Here is a 17,998-nt window from a genome sequence, read left to right as displayed (position 1 = left end):
AAAATATATGATCCAAACCAGGAGAAAAACCCAAAGAAACAGACCAGAAATGACTCAAGTAGACATTATAATGATAAAAAATATATCTGAAATATGGGTTTAACAGCAGACCAGACACAGCAGAAAAACATCAGTGAACTTGAAGACACAGCAACAGAAACTATTGAAAATGAATCAGAGAGAAAAAGATTGGGAGAAATAAAAAAACAGGGTACCAGTGCCCTGTGTGACAGTATCAAGCAGTTTAACCATGTGTTACTGGAGTCCAAAACTAGAGAAGGGAGGCACAGAAACAAATCTCTGAAGAAGGGCTGAAAATTTTTCAAATCTGGAGAAAACCATAAGCTCGCAGATCCAACAAACTCTGAGCTAAAGAACTATAAAGAAAACTCCCAGTCTGTTGTTATGTACATCATAACCAAATTGCTGAAAACCAATGACGAAGAGAAGAATATTAAAAGCAGCCAGAGAAAACTTAGTTTGAGGGCCTTAGCTTAGAAGTAACATATTAATAGGAGGGAAAGAAATCAAGCAAAGTTTTATTCTTTTTTCTTTAAAACAAACAAACAAACAAACAAAACACTTATACACAAAATCCAGAAAAATACTAGTGGTAAGTTCAAAAGAACTTGCATCATTTCAATTAACTAACCGTAAGCATCCAAAACCTCATTTTGTAATCGTTCATGTGAGATGAGCTAATGTGGTCAGCCGACCAGTTCAGAATGTTTACATGTATACCAATGATTTGGGATGAGCAAAGTAGTACAAGGTCTACATCAGCTGCCCTGAAACATTTGTCTTACTTGTGTTTAATAACATGCAAATGTGAAATGTCTTTCTGGTACTAAACTTCTGACAGTCACGTAAAACATTTCACTCTTTTACCATAAAACCCTGCTAAAGTACTATTATTACACTACAGTCTGGTCTAGGCAAAGTATGTCTTGAACTCAACCCAAGGGAGTTTGGTGTAGGTTTTAGAGGAAAAATGTGTGAAAAGAAAACAAAACAAAAATTCAAGTTACTTAGGGTTAAATAGTTCTGCTCTGACATATTAGGTAAACCACAATGGTGCCTGAAATAGCTATCTGTAAAATGATGAAGTCGGATTAGATGAGTCTGAAAACATCTGTGGTTCTGCAAAAGCCACCCCTGCCCCCCAACACCACCCCCGCCAAAAAAACCCAAAACACTTCATTTAGCGACATCCTTCGAAATAAATGGATATTTTAACCACTTGTGAAGTATAATATTCATCTGTATGAAGTTCTCTCATCCACCTCCACCTATTCTCTATTAGGTAATAAGTATTAGGGAGATTTCTGCTATTGGGGGAAAGAGAGGAGGGACATAGGCAGAAGGGATAGATTTTCTAGGTTTCCTTTTTCTTTAAACAATGTGTATAGCTTGCTTGGCCTGAAGTATTAATCAAAGGGAGCTAAGCTCAGTTTGAGGTTGTATGTTTGGTTCATACTACAAGAGCCAATTTATTAATAAGTTATCCATATTACACGAGTCAATTTATCAATGTTAGTTATCTTTATCATCAATCTACAGCTGAACATTTATCAGCTCACCTCCAGGTGAACGGTCAAACCTCGAGCTTATCCAACATGTACTATCTAACTTTTGCACTGTTTCAGAGCATAGGGTCTTTACAAACCTAACTAATCTTGCTTATTTTTCAAGATAGACATTTAGACTTGTTTTTTAATGAAAATTCATCTTTTTAAAACAAATGTAGATTTAAAAAAAAAAAGATTTCCTATGGAAATGAATAAGAAGCTATCTCCCCAACAATTACTGAAGAGCAGGAGCCTGTCATCCTTACCACTGCTTCTCCGGTGTCTAGAACAGTGGCTGGTGCAGATTATGTGTTCAAAACTACTTGCTGATTGAATAAACAAATCAAGTAAGTTTATCTTCTATACTTTGGATTTAATCATTATCCAAATCCTTTTAAAATACAATAACATTTCACTATTTTTAAAATATATTTTTTAAAGGCTACAAGAATGAAGGATTGTTGATTTTTGCCAATAATGAAATCCCTACGCCCCCACACTTACTAGTAAGAATACAAGTTTTAATCAAATTATTGTTTTCTTGTAAACACTTTAATTTAGAAGTCTTATCCAATGCCACTGGAACTTGTGCTTGGACAGTTAATTAAACATACATACAAAAACATTAACAATGAAACATGCAGACAAAAAAAATATACTGTGGCAGCTGTTACTTTGGGGGTCCCTGATGAAACCGGCCTCCTCATGGTCACAAACCTGCATATCTACGCTTGAATGTGGAATGACTTTGTGACTGCTTTAACCCAAGCAATGTAGCAAAAATGACACTGGACCAGTCCCGGGCCTAAACCTTAAGAAGGCCACCTGTGTACTGCTGGGAAAGCTAGCCACCAGGTAAGGAGCCCAACTTAGGTGGAGAAGTGCATGAAGGAGAAGCTAGCTAGCCCAAACTTGGGGAGCTCCCAGCTGACAGCCAGCACCAACTTAACTTGCTAACCCTATGAGTGAGGCTATTTTGGATCTCCATTTGTCCCTGCTCTGCAGCCAACACCGTAAGTAGCAGAAAAACCACTCAATACCATGACAGCTAATAAATGGTTTTTATTTTAAGCTGTTAAACATTGGTATGGTTTGTTAAACTGTAATATGTAACTGCCACACATACAAACCTTACATTTTATTTTTGCTTTAAACCCATGAGTGGGTTTTAATCAACCACTACTTTAATGAGGGCTACAGCCTTGTCTTTTAGTGCGGGTCCACTGATGGAAGTTCCGAGTCAACTCTCTGGCTTATCAGATGTTGCACAATGCATCATCTACAATCTCCACTCTATTTCTCTAAAATAGAACAAGAATTTAAAGACTTTTGTAGAGCGATTTTTCTGGATGTTCATGATTTTTCTTCCTAAGCTTTCACAGTTCTCTCTTACACCTAATTTGAAGGCAATTTTTTTTTAATGTTACTCACCTATACTGACACTTTGCAAAGCATTCCAAGTTAATTTATGTAGAAGCTACAATTCTCTTTCACACTCACATTTCATAGATTTGTATAATAGTCTACTGAGTTACACAATCACAATTAAAAAGTAAAGATCTAAATAGATTTAGGAACAAACCAGAAACTCTTGTTAAGTATATAGTTCAATTGGTGGGGACAGAAAAATCACTGCCTGTATCACATTCTGTATTCTAGAGTAGACTATTAGCTATCCGCATTCATGATGCTGTGAACATCAGTTGGTAAGTTTTATATAAGAAATGAATAGGACCAGGTCTTGGAAAAGTAGGTAAGTGGATGAGGCCTGCCTGATTTATGTCTTCTGGTATAAAGTCTTCTGTTTCACTCATAGATTTATATAGCATATTTTATCGGTCCTGAACTAAATAAAACAAAAAAGAATGCATAAAGATAGAAAACAAATATATATAAAGAGACGAATTAGCCCACATGGATAAACTTTTACTCATCATTAGAAATAAAAATAATTATAAGCTGTTTATAATTCAGATGAAGGCTTTCAGAAAATAAACTCTCATAAAACTATATAAATACAACACAACAAAACACTTTAAAGACTTCATACTAATTAATTCAATTCTGGTTAACCAGACTTTCCAATGAGAACTACAAAAAAAAAAAAAAAAAAAAAAAAGGAGAGAGAACCCTTTGGGCATTCCAATATAAATGAGTCCCATTACACATAAAAAGACAAACATAATTATTTCTGTTATTTTTGCAATTTTGTTGCAAATACTTGAGTACTTAAAAACAGAAGACAAAGAATAAGACATATTGCAGGGGTGCTTTATTTTTTACCAAATCTACTACCTCCAACAATTGTGTGAGTGTGTCTATATATATCTTCATCCAAAGTCTTGAGGATAAATACCAGATCATATGTGTATAGGATAGTGAGAAGAAAATCAAAACTGTAAGAAAAGCCTTCCTTCTGACCGGGCACGGTGGCTCATGCCTGTAATCCCAGCACTTTGGGAGGCCAAGGAGGGCAGATCACGAGGTCAGAAGATCAAGACCATCCTGGCTAACATGGTGAAACCCCGTCTTTACTAAACATACAAAAAAAAAAATTAGCTGCGCGTGGTGGCGGGCACCTGTAATCCCAGCTACTCGGGAGGCTGAGGCAGGAGAATGGCATGAACCCAGGAGGCAGAGCTTGCAGTGAGCCGAGATCGCGCCACTGCACTCCAGCCTGGGCCACAGAGCAAGACTCCATCTCAAAAAAAAAAGCAAAGCCTTCCTTCTTAGATTGGGCCTGACCACACAGCAGTGCAGCAGGGAGCACAGGTGGGAGCATGTCCCTGAAACACAAGAAAAAAATTATTACATGTCAGTGTCACTGTGGGTACATTCTACCATGAAATGCCAACCAAAAACTATTCAAGGGAAAGCAACAAAAAATAAACATCATGATTCATTCAAACAGTTGTTTTAGGCTTAACTAAAGAGAACCATAGGTCTAAGACAGGAAAATTTGGAAGATAAAAAACTGTCAAAGCTGGGAGGAAAAACAAACAAAGGGGCTTATGCCAAAGACAAAACATAAAAGAGTTTACAGAGAAACAAGAAAAACGTTTAAAACTTTAATTAAAGGTTAATTCACTCAAGAATGAATTACGATCTTCTACCCACTCTTCTCGCAAATAAGAACATTTTTTAAAATCTCCTTATTCTAAATTAAATTTACTTGTGGAAAAAACATTCTATATCATTGGCATTCTTAGAAATCAAGCAACTGAAGAACCATCTCTGTAGGGGACAGATGAGCTGCCTGGATCTCCTTAGCTGAAGTTACTTTTTCTTAAAATTTGGATTACAAAATTAGTTAACTGTAAATATGGCCTATGACACACATCACACATTCAAAACATTAGTTCCAACTGCTGGGAGGATAAAACAAGGAAATATGAGCATATGACATATTCTCCCAAAGTATTTGGTGACGGAAAACGGACACTAGAGTAGGGAAGGCAAATCAGGACAACCTGGGCACAAAAATCTCTCACCTTTGCTTTGACGGCACAGAAAGAGCTCGTTCATCCAGGGACTAGATCTTGGTTCCCAATACCACTCTCCAATAAGAGAATTTTGGAGAAATGGCTGATTGTGGGACTAGGGCAAGGAAGTTGCAGTATAAGCCTGAGCTGAGCATCCTGCATCACCAGCAAGTGAGGAATATTCAAAAACAGAACTGCCAGGTATGTTACAGAGACACAGGAGCCAACTCAAAGAACTCCCATTTGGCCGAAGGTGGGACACTCTGAGCAACAAAACAAATGAGGTAACACTGGATTACAACCATGAGCCCATATTGATAACTACTGGGTGGGTGGGTGGATGGATGGATGGGTGGATGGATGGATGGATGGCTGGGTGGGTGGGTGGATGGATGGATGGACAGATAGGCAGACAGTCTGACAGACAGGCAGGTACATACATACATACATACGTATCTCCTGTACAGAAAATAAAAATCCAAATAATTTACATACTTTCCTCTCAAGGAGGTGGAGTTGAACTCTCCACCCCTTAAGCGTGGGCTACACTCTGGTGACAGAAAGGTGGAAAAAAAAGTAACATTGCAATGGGGTAACCTGACAACAAACAGGCGATCAAGCTTAACATATCAGTGGTAAGCCATGTTGACAGCACGTGCCCCTGATATGATATGATGACAAGGTCACTTAATCTCTGTGGTATTCCTCCTAAAAACCCGTAACCTCAAACTAAGACAAAAACACCTGACAAACCCAAGTTGCGGGACTTTCTACAGAATACCTAATCATTACTTCTCAAAACTGTCAAAGTCATCAAAAACAAAGTGTGAGAAACTGTTAACAGCCAACGAGGCTAAGGAGACACAACTAATGTGGTCCCTGGATGGGATCTGGGAACAGAAAAAGAACATGTGGGGAAAACAAATGAAATCTGAATAAAGTTCTGAGTTTAGTTAACAACAAAGTGTCAATATTGGTTCATTAGTCGTGACAAATATATGAAGTTATATAAAATTTAATAAAAGGGGAAACTGAGCATAGGGTATAGGGGAATTCTATGTACTATCTTTGCAACTGTCTCTAAATCTAAAACTACTCTAGGGGCTGGGTGTGGCGGCTCGCATCTATAATCCCAACACTCTAGGAGGCAGAGGCGGGAGGATCACTGGAAGCCAGCAGTTTGACACCAGCCCGGGCAATATCGTGAGACACAAATCTCTGCAAAAAAACAAAAGAATTAGCCAGGTTTGGTGCTGCACACCTGTAGTCCCGGCTACTCAGGAGGGTGAAGCAAGAGAATCGCTTGAACCCAAAATTTCGAGGCTGCAGTGAGCCATGATCACACCACTGTACTCCAGTCTGGGCAACTGAGTGAGACTCTGTCTCTTAAAAAAATAAAAGAGAGAAAATTTAAATTAAGCTATTCCAAAATTAAAAGTTTATTTAAGACTTAATTATATTACATTGAATAGTTTCATGACTGCTTAATAATTGTGATGTTACTGTACAGGTATAAAAGACTAAGAGCCAAAACTAAACTTAAAAATGTAAAATTATAAAATTAAGCAATTCTTTACAGATACACTGGTAATTGTGGTTGTAAACAACTTCAAAATGATAGGCTGAAAAAATGCCATTTAAAACAGTGACTGCCAAAACTGGTATGTGCATCAGAATTTTTGACCTTCCTGTTAAAAATACAGATTTCAGTATCTTCCACAAGAAATTCTGACCAGAGAGTCTGAAACAGGGCTTGGAAATATTTATTGTAACAATCATCATAGCAGCATCTGATCCATGCACCAGTGCCATAAACAGAGTCTGATCAACTGCCATAAATCATGTCTTTTCTTCCTATTTTAACGGCAAATTCTGCTCTTCCATCCTCATGGAGAAGTTAGCATTCCTCCTCCAGGAGGCTGAGTGAAGAAGCATAACCTAAACATACTGATTAACGGCTTTAGGTTAGCATGATGGAAGACCACATGCAATGTTTTTCATAATGTGGTATTTAAAAGACTTCTGGAGGCACATGTATAATGTGCTTACAGTCATTTATTGTTACAATTATTTTCTATTTATGGCAAAATTATTTAGGTTTTCCATGTTTACTATCATGATAAAGTTTCCTTCTAAAATAGACTGCCTAAAAAGAGAATAAATTTTAAAAAAAGGAAAATAATAGGATAGGTGGTACAAGGATACAGCAAAAATTATAAGGTGTTACACAGATGGTGGAAGATTGAAAAATTCTGTACTAGTTAAACTCCAGTGCTACCTTTTCATATAAAGCTGGAAAAAGACAGATGAACGAAGACTCAAAATTAAGACAATGGTCAAAAAACAATAAAATTATGTTAAATGGGAATAAAACATTTATACTTGTTTATGTTTTCAATCAGCTCTGTAATTTGTTACCCATTAAGTTATGAAGAATTTTCACTGTAACAGTATAATTGCTACCGTTAGGCACGGAGTACTTACCATGCTTGGTAAGTACTATGCTCGATATCATACAGTCTCATTTCATCTTTACCAGAACCTTATAGAACCATTTTAGGGAAGGATCCTTTGCACAGGAGGTCAATTCTTATTGATGATGGGAGGTGCTCTGTTACATGCGAGGTACCCAAGGATTCCTACAGGTACTAGCATAATTCCTGAGCCCCAGAGTAGGGAAAAGGATGGCTCATCTTGCAAGTGTCTGGGCCATAACTGGAGTCCTGATCTAACTCTAAGGCCCAAGGCCCTCCCATCTTCAGCAGACCATTCACTTGTAGCTCACACTGATAAGGATCACTTCTCCTGTGGGACAAAGTCCCTCCAGGTGGAGAGAGAGCATAGCATGAGAGAGAGACCAGGAGAAAGTATGGACTGGCAGTTCAGAGAGCCAGTTCTCTGGTCCGCTCTAGGACTCACATCTTTGGTGAAGCTTTTTAACCATCCTAAATTTCCTCAGCTATAAATAAAGGTATTACTCTGGATAAGATACTGCATCTAAATTCAGCTCCAGGGAGACCTAGCTTGGCTACAAGTTAAATGAGAGAAAAAGTGGGGATTCTGCCTGGTTTATTTATCTGTATATGTCAAATAAAAGGTCTAACTGAAATCGTCTCCTTCAGATAGCTATTTATCTTCCGTACCAAATGCAGGGATTACACTCTGCGTTCCAGGAAGGTCAATGTGCAGCACTTCTAACACAGCCTCATCAGATCAGGCTTGAGTCTCCGTTCCTTTCACATGAGCCTGGGTGTGTGCCGGTGTGCGTGTGTTGAAATAGAAAACAGCCTTTCAAACTAGGGAACGGTAATTTTGAATTAACAACAACTCTTCTTTTTTCTTTTTCATTGAAAACAGGATTCTATAAGGGATGAGACAAAGAAGATATAAATGTGTTAAATGTACACCATTTTCTTTTATTCACTTTTGTTTTTTTTTGTTTTCTTGGGTCTTTATTCTAATAATTTGATTGATTTACTTACAGGTGAAAATACACATTATCTGTTTCATACCACATTGTGTGTCAAATTACACTATTAGCACCTCAAGGGAAATCACAGTCATGTCTTTATTTCATTCAACAATGACCCCACCAGACAAGAGGTGTGCTAGGAGTAGAGGAAAAAACACATTACTGTTCCTGCCCTCATGGAGCTTTCAATCTACAGAGAACTGGAGAGTTAGCACAGAATTACATACACAAGTGTATTTCAAGTATACTTATGAATTATGCTATGGAGGAAGATTACAGGGAACAAAGTGCTGGGACAAAGCCCACCAGCAGATAGGACCTAACCTGGAGAACTAGGAAGATGGTAACAAAGAAGGCTTCTCTGAAGAAGGAGCATTTCAACTGACACATAAAAGTTCCGAAGAAATTGCACAGAAAAAGGAGGCAGAAAGTGGGGGGCTGCTAAGACAGAAGGTACAGCATGTGCAGAGGATCTGAGACAGGAGAGAGCAGGGCTCATCTGAGAGTGAAAGGAGCCCATGACAACCCAGGGTGGGGCAGGCGGAGTGAATCCGAGTCCCAGAAGCAGCAGGCAGGAGCAGGAACAGACTACGTTATGTCTTATCCCCAACAGCTTCTGTCTACACTCCAGCAATCAAGACCAAGTGACCTGTTGGTAGCTAACAGAGGGAAAAGAATTGTTCACTTGAGAGGAACAATGCCTTTTGGAATTATAAAAACCTTACAAATGGCAAGTTGCTATCTAAGAGGTAATAAAACATGACCCAACATCAAAGATGTAATCAAAGATACACACAGGTTTGTCTCATGAAAACTATAACTTTCTTAATTAAAAGCTATGTAAACTGAGAAAAATTTAAATGAGTCTAAAAAATTTTAGAAGAAAAAATAAAACCTCCTATTTTTAACTTTAAAGCTTTCCTCACTAAGGAGAACGTAATTGGTAATTGTGGTTGAACACATAAGGTCAATGTGGAATTTACTGGAAATGTGGGGCTTAAAGGCCCTGTGTATTCCCAATATAAATACCACATATAGTTTTAGAAAAGAAATGTCTAACAGTGTATCATTAAATACAACATGTACAAAACATAGGGAATATTTTAAAAATAGCTGTGGCATCAAAGCCATTATTACTTTATATTTCAACCATGAAAACTAAGAATTCCCTGAACTTGAATGTAAATTTTCATTATGTGCATGCATGCATTTTTCTCTTTCTTGTTTTTTTTTTTTTTTTTTAGACAGAGTCTCACTCTGTCACCCAGGCTGGAGTGCAGTGGTGCGATCTCGGCTCACCACAGCCTCCACTCCCCGGGTTCAAGTAATTCTCCTGCCTCAGCCTCCCGAGTTGCTGGGACTACAGGCGCGCACTACCACGCCCAGCTAATATTTGTATTTTTAGTAGAAACGGAGTTTCACCATGTTGGCCAGGATGGTCTCAATCTCCTAACCTTGTGATCTGCCCACCTCGGCCTCCCAAAGTGCTGGGATTACAGGCGTGAGCCACTGTGCCCGGCCCAGGACTCTTTACTTAGAAAAGTGCACACATGTGGGCAGGGAGACACTGCAGTCCAGCCTGGGTGACAGAGCGAGACTCTGTCTCAAACAAACAAACAAACAAACAAACAAAGAAAAGTCCATAGTTTTCATTAGGTTCTCAAATGCAGTTTATGACACAAAAAAGGGTAAGAAGCATTGACCTAGTATTTATCACACATTTAGCAAGTTTCTCTTTTAGAAATATCTCACAGTGACATGTATTCAACACCTAAAGGATATAAGTGTCAGATGCATAACTAATTCAAAGCCAATGCTCAAACTACAAAGTTCCTGTTGTACTAGCCAGGGACAGAGACACCTCTACCCACCCACATACATAGGATTTATTCAAAACTGACTTTTTTACAAAATCATATAAGTGTCAAAAGATGCAGTGAATAAAATAATTTTCCACCTTTTATGACACACTGCTGTTTCATGTTTGGAGTGATACTGGCCTCCATATACCCTACAAAAATGGTTAATTATTCGGACAAATTTGAGTTTAAAAAAATTTTTTTTAAATGGTTAACATAAATTAACATTTTATCTAGTAACAGTTAATAAGAATAATTAGAAAACTCCTTAAATGGTTCATAATCAAGGTTACGACTAAACACAATAAAAAAGCCTTCTGAAAGAAAGGCTGGGCGTGGTCCACAGCTCACGCCTGTAATCCCAACACTAAGGAAGGCCAATGCGGGTGGATCACTTGAGGTCAGGAGTTCAAGACCGGCCAAGCCAACATGGTGAAACCCTGTCTCTACTAGAAAAATACAAAAATTAGCTGGGTGTGGTAGCACACGCCTGTAATTCCAGCTACTCGGGAGACTGACGCAGGAGAATTGCTTGAACTGGGAGGCGGAGGTTGCAGTGAGCTGAGCTCGCGCCACTGCACTCCAGCCTGGGCGAGAGAGACTCCGTCTCAAAAATAGAAAGAAAGAGATGTTAAGCAAACATGGAAGAAACTGTGGTAAATGAGAGAAAGGAAGAATGTTTCCAAAATGTAACACCAGAGATGTAAAAGTAGAAGGAAAAAAACCACTACAAGAACAAAACTATTTTTAAGACAGGCAACAAAGGTAAAAACTATAGAGGAACAAGAGATTTAAGCAGTGATCTTCCAGTGACAGGGTTTCTTCTGTGTTGACCCTACTTTAAACTCACTGAACTTTTTGAATCTATGGTTGACAGCATTTATCAAATTTGAAACATTTACAACCACTACTTCTTAAAAAAATTTTTTCGGTTCTCCTCTTTCTTTTCTCCTAAAACTCAATACACACGCTAACCGCCTGACACTATTCCACATGTCACTGGTATTCTGGTACACTTTTCCAGTCTTTGTTCTCTCTGCATTGCATTTTGCATAGTTTCTACTGCTATATCCCTAAATTCACTGATGTTTTTCTGCAGTGTCTAATCTGTTGATATCCCACCCAGCATATCTATCATTTCACGTAACGTATTTTTCATTTTCAGAAGTTCCATTTGGATCTTTTTTACATCTTTTTTCTCTAATATTCATGTTTTCATTTAAATACTTGAGCCTAATTATAATCATACTATTTTAGCAACTCCTGGTACTTCCATCATCTGTTACACTTCTAGGATTGTTACTATTGACTAATTTTTCTCCTGGTTATAGGTCATATTTTCTTGCTTATTGACATATTTTGATTAGATGTTGGATATTATACATTTTCTGTTGTTGTTACCTGGATTTTACTGTCTTCCTTTAAAGAGGATTAAACTTTGAGGGTTTTTTTGTAGGCTATTAAATTATCTCAAATTCCTTTTTATCCTTTTAAGATTTGTTTTCAAGCTTGGTTAAAGTCAATTCCATAGAAGCTTTTCCTCTAGAAACAGCCTAACCTCACTACTAAGCTGTGATCCTTCCAAGTCTTTACTGAATGTCCCAAATGTCCAACGCAACAAAGACTTTCCACTTCAACCAACTGGTACTCAAGTGCCTCCCAGCCCTGTGTGGGCTCTGCAAACTTTTCACAGCTCACAGCTCCTCAACAGCTCTTTGCCTTATTTGCAGAGTTTCTATTCCACACAATCTACTCATCAACGACTCAAGAAGGCCTTATATAAATTTTCTGGAGCTCTTTTTCTAGATCACTCCTTCCTCTCCAGAACTCCAACCTCAACTTCCAACTGCCTCAGCCTCCTCAAACTCCAATCTGCTTCCTCCACTCAGCAAGTTCACTCTGCTTTGCCTGGTATTCTTCCCCGCAACACAGTCTGGAATAGGTTTCCAGGCAAAAGCCAGGGTAATCAAAAGCCTGGCCTTATTTGTTTCCCTTGCCTCAGGGATTACTATCATGTACAGCCTGCTGTCTAATATCTGAAACAGTCACTCTATACTCAAGTCTATTCCAAATAGCGTAAGAAGAGTTTATTGTAATCACTAAAACCCAGCATATTTATATTTTTTAATCTAAAAAAACTGTTCTGTGTATTTTTAGGGTTATAATAACATAACGCACAATCAGCTTCATCACACATTTGGGAAAACCAGTACTTGACCTTCAACCTTCAAAGTGACTGATTACATGATGTAGCTAAGTATTATATAATAGGATCACACAGCAGTGTCTTTAGGAAGCAAAGGAGAAAGGAAATTTTGTTCAAAAATATGTATATGTTTATGTTTACTTTACATAAAAAGGCAAAAATCACCTCATTTTGGAGGCTAAAACACTTACAGATAGTCAAATTCAACCCATTTATTTTGTGAAAATTTAACCTCTTTGGGCCTGTTTCTATAACTTACAAAAGATCACAAAGATTTTTTGTGGACCTAATTTTTAGGCATATAAAAACTCTAAAACTTAGGCTTTTACAAACCTAATACTATTTAAAATATCCAAATAAATAGAAAGTGACATACTTCTCAACTACAGATGGTACCAGAAGACCAAATAAATAACACTCTTGGCAGTTCCTTACGTGCTTGTCAGAAAAACAGTTAGTAGTTCTATCACCCTCATCCCTATTACTGAGGGGGAAATATCATTAACAGAAACAAGTATGCCACCAAATTGTTTTGACTTAGCTAGGATCATCGAAATAAAAATTCTAATATACTAATTAAGACAGGAAACACTCAATTTCCGAAAACCTACATTTAATTATACAAATGTATCCCTCCTCTACCAAGAATAATTTTAACTGTATAGAACCTAAACATTTCCTTATAATTTAATATAATGTTGGTTAAACTAAGGCCTTTGTTGTTCTTTTTTCGCTTCTAAAATTCTTTTTTCAGTGCACACAAGACCTTTAGTAAAGCATTATACTCCCGAGATATATATCATTACTAGTAACTTTTATTAACATAGAAATAACAAGGGACTGGGATATGTTACAAAATGCTGAAAAACAGACACAGCTAGGAAATTCTATTTAAAGACATTAATTCACCATTCAAACTGCATGCATTGAGTACTTTAAACCATCCATGCAATAAATATTTACAAAAAGCTATTATGTGCTAAGCACTATTCCAAGTGCAAGAATACAAGGCGTTTAAAGATAAAGGCAACCAAAACAATCCTGGAAAAGAGTAATGCTGGAGGACTCACCTTCCCAATTTCAAAACTAAACAAAGGTAATTAAGAGTGTGATAATGGCATAAGGACAGACACACGGGATCAGTGGAACAGAACTGAGAGAGTCCAGCTATAAACTCGTATGTCTAGGGTCAATGGATTTTCAACTGGGGTGCCAAAAATATTCAATGGGAAAAGGACAGTCTTTTTAACAAACGGTGCTAGGACAACCAGCTATAAGAAAAGGAATGAAGTTGGACCCTTAATTCACACCATATGTGAAAATTAATTCAAAATGAATAGAAGATCAAAATGTAACAACAACCAGAATGTGTAAGAGAAAACTGGGGTAAAGCTATAGGATCTCATATTTGTCAATGAGGTCTTAGATATGATACAAAAGCACGAACAACAAAAGACAAAACAGATAAACCAACTGCATCAAAATTAGAAACTTTTATGCAAAAGACACAATCAAGAAAGTAAAAAAGACAGCCCACAAAAATGGGAGAAAATATTTGCAAATCATGTATCTAATAAGAGACTTATATAAAGAATATACAAAGAACTCTTAAAATTCAATTTTAAAAAGACAAAAAAATAGTGAAACAATCTTCCAAAAAAGATATACAAATGGTCAATGAGCACCTGAAAAGATAATCACCACCACTGGAAAAATGCAAATCAAAACTATAATCAGACAGCACTTTATATCCACTAGGATGGTTATAATTAAAACGTCAGACAACGCGTTGACAAAGATATGGAGAAATCATTATACATGAATTTATATAGCAGTATTATTTATAATAACCAAAAGGTGAAAACAATCCAGTGTCCATCAACTGCTGGAGTGGAAAAACAAAATGTAGTACTCCCACTGCTATAGTTTGGGTATCTGGCGCCCAAACCTCATGATGAAATTTTATCCCCAATGTTGGAGGTGGGTACTAATGGGAGGAGTCTGGTGTCATGGAGGCAGACCCCTGATGAATGACTTGGTGCCAGCCTCATAGTAATGAGTGAATTCTCTCTATGAGTGCTAGCAAGCGCTACCCTAGGAGCTGGTTGTTAAAACGAGCCTGGCACCTTCCCCCCGCCCCGCACCACCTCTTGCTTCCTCCGTGCCACATGATCTGCACACGCTGGCTCCCCTTCTCCTTCTACCTTGAGTGGAAGCTTCCTGAGGCCCTCACCGGAAGCAGATGTTGACACCATGCTTCTTGTACAGCCTGACGAACCGTGATCTAAGTAAACCTCTTTTCTTTATAAATTACCCAGCCTCGAGTATTCTTCTGTTGGTGGTGGTGGTGATGGTGGCCACTTCAACTTTCATTTTAAGTTCCAGGATACGTGTGCAGGATGTGCAGGTTTATTACATAGGTAAACGTGTGCCATGGTGGTTTGCTGCACAGATCGACCCATCACCTAGGTAGTAAGTCCAGCATCAATGAGCTGTTCTTTCTGATGCTCTCCCTCCCCCCACCATCAACAGGCCCCAGTGTGTGCTGTTTCCCCCCCATGTGTCCATGTGTTCTCATTGTTCAGCTCTCATTGAAAATGTGGTGTTTGGTTTTCCGTTCCTGTGTTAGTTTGCTGAGGATAATGGCCTCCAGCTCCATCCATGTCCCTGGCAAAAGTTTACAGCAATACAAATGGACAAAGATACACATTAAAGAGAATACTGTTGACACCATATAAATGAATGCACTATAATTTATACTATGACAAAACTTGAAAATCTTACGCTAAGTGAAAGAAGCCAGTCACAAAAAAACCCACATATTATATGATCCAATTTATATAAAATGTTCAGAATAGGAAAATATACAGAGACAGAAAGTAAATTAGCAGTTACTCAGCAGTGGGAGGGTTGGGGACCGGGCAGGGGGTTGGTAATGGCTACATGGTGCAGGGTTTCTTTTCAAGGTGATTAAAATGTTTGAAAATTGACTGTGGTAATGGTTGCATATATCTGTGAATATACTAAAACCATTGATTTGGACACTTTAAATGGGTGGATGACATATGAATTGTATCTCAACAAAGCTATCTAAAATATAAGTAAAGGCAAGAGCCCTACTGTTATAGTTCTCTTCCTCTCCATGTGAATTCCAATTCCAATGAGAACACTTTCTGATATCCTAGAGACACAATGTTTTTTGGTAGTCCAGAATTCAAATATATGTGCTTTAAGGTTAGTACAGGATTTCAGCATCCTCATATAAAAAAAGGGACTATCTCACTTGTTATTTCTAGAGGAAATTGTGACTAGCACTAAATTTGGAAACTATATGGAACAGCTCTCTGCATGACCAAATTAACTCATTTTAATAATCACCTATTTCTCAAATTCTGAAAAATTAATTTGAAAAAGCACTAACAAACTAGCAGGATTTGAAAGGAAAGCAAACCTACTTACATTAAAACAAGGGGAAATAAGGATTTTATGACAGGTTCTACATTAACTCTCATTCAAATACCATTCCCAGGAAGAAAGTTTAACCAGGTACATAAGATATAATACCCAGTGGTACAAAAGGGGTAGAAATCTTGCATAAGAAGCCTAAAAGGAAAGGGCGCTCCTTTGTCTTTTATTAGTTCATTAATTCTCAAAAAATGAGAGCATTTTGCATAAAGGAAGAGGTGCCAAGAACCAGCAAGGTTATTACAAAAGTCATGTTAATGACAATTCATTCCACCACCAGTCAATTATTCAGTGCCTACTATGTGATATACAAAATACATAAAACCTACATTATAAGCTCTTTTAGAGTTTACAATGAAGGCGGGACTGGACTCCAGAGGCAGGGTTCAGACACCAGACCAAACTGAGGACTAGCTAAAACAGTGATGGGGCAGAATCTGCTTTCCATAAGACACGCCCACCAGTGTGCCAATCAGTTTACCACTGACATGACAACACCCAGGAGTTACTGCCCCTTTCCACGGCAATGACCCAGCAGTTACTACCCCTTCCCTAGAAATTTCTGCATAAACTGCCCCTTAATTTACATGTAATTGAAAACAGGTATAAATATGACTGCAGAACTGCCCTGAGCTGCTACTCTTGGCCTACGGGGCAGCCCTGCCCTGCAGCAGCAGCCACGGAGCTTAACACCACTAGAGATGTAACGTTGCCTCTTCAATAAAGCTGTTTTCTTCTACCTCTAGTGTGCCCCTGAATTCTTTCCTGGGCAAAGCCAAGAACCCTCATGGGCTAAACCTCACTTTTGGGCTCACCTGCCCTGCATCAATTATTTTCCTAGAAAATGAATCTGAAATTATTTCCCTTAATTTCATGTGTTGGGGTTTCTAGCATTAAAGAAATGAAAGAAAACTTAAAGGGAAAGATTTAACTATAAGAATGCTTAAGTCTTCTATATATGTACAAAAAATTTACCTAAGCCATATTAAAAGTTAAACTGAGGATAACTGTCCTAAATTTAGAAAAGGCTCATGAAGAAAAGCTGCAAAATACCAACAAGAAAACGAGCAAACAAAATGAAAAGACAATTCACAAAACAAATTTATATAGCAGTGAAACATGAAAACTGTCCCGCCACCTAAATTAAAACAAGATGGCTCTCTCTGGCCTAGGAAATTAGCAAACAGTTTTTAGTAACACTGGAAGCTAGAAAGAATACAGTAAGGTAAGCACTAATATGACCTATATACATTTGTACAATCTTTCCAGAGGAAATTATTGTGATATTAAAACCTTTAAAAGTGTTCAAAATCCTTTCAAATTCTACTTTCAGGAAATTCTTTTGAGAGCAGCCAGAAAAGCTTGTGGTATGTACCGAGAGGTTCACTGCAGTGTTGTCTAGAAGAAGAAACTGGTAGTAACTTCCAGCTCTATGGTATGCTCATAAAATGAAATATGATGGGACCATTTTTAAATGATGTTATAATATTTTTATTAACACGCCAAATGCTCACAATACATTTAGATATCATTCCTACCTCAGCCTAAAGGACCTCCTCCCACCCCTGTGTAGTTTACTTGGCAATTAATCATTCCTGTGATCTCTCTTACTGCTGTAATAAACTACTATTTAAATCTTTCACAACGTCTTTTCTCATGTATGTCTAAGGAAACAACATATAAAATAGAGTAACAAATATGGATTTGAGACCAGATTCCCGGTATTCTGCACTAATACGTCTCTTAAAGGCTCACCTCCCTTATCTGAAAATGCATATGTATTTTATAAGTTCGTTGTAATAATTATATAAAGCAACAAGTTATGCCACTTATATGATAGCATATAGGTAGATTATAGATGTAAATTTATTACAGTTCTGCACCAGACCATGAATTATAATTTCTATTACCTTACATCTTTTCCAACTAGCTTATAAATTCTCTGA

At 37.7% G+C, this 17,998-nt stretch overlaps 1 protein-coding gene across 7 annotated transcripts in view, besides 1 other annotated feature; it reads right to left on the bottom strand.

Annotated features, from left to right (window-relative positions):
* MAP3K4 (mitogen-activated protein kinase kinase kinase 4) overlaps positions 1-17,998 on the bottom strand; it is a 125,612-nt gene that overhangs the window by 86,960 nt on the left and 20,654 nt on the right. The gene's annotated exons all lie outside the window — the stretch shown is intronic.
* Positions 910-1,009: an enhancer, noted in NCBI's record as "active region_25409". NCBI's record gives its function as "activates an Ori minimal core promoter by ATAC-STARR-seq in GM12878 lymphoblastoid cells {active_cell/tissue: GM12878}" and the evidence as "EXISTENCE:reporter gene assay evidence [ECO:0000049][PMID:35858748]".

Source organism: Homo sapiens, chromosome 6 (assembly GCF_000001405.40).
Source record: "Homo sapiens chromosome 6, GRCh38.p14 Primary Assembly".
Lineage (NCBI taxonomy): Eukaryota > Metazoa > Chordata > Mammalia > Primates > Hominidae > Homo > Homo sapiens.
This window is presented reverse-complemented; position numbering and strand designations above follow the sequence as displayed.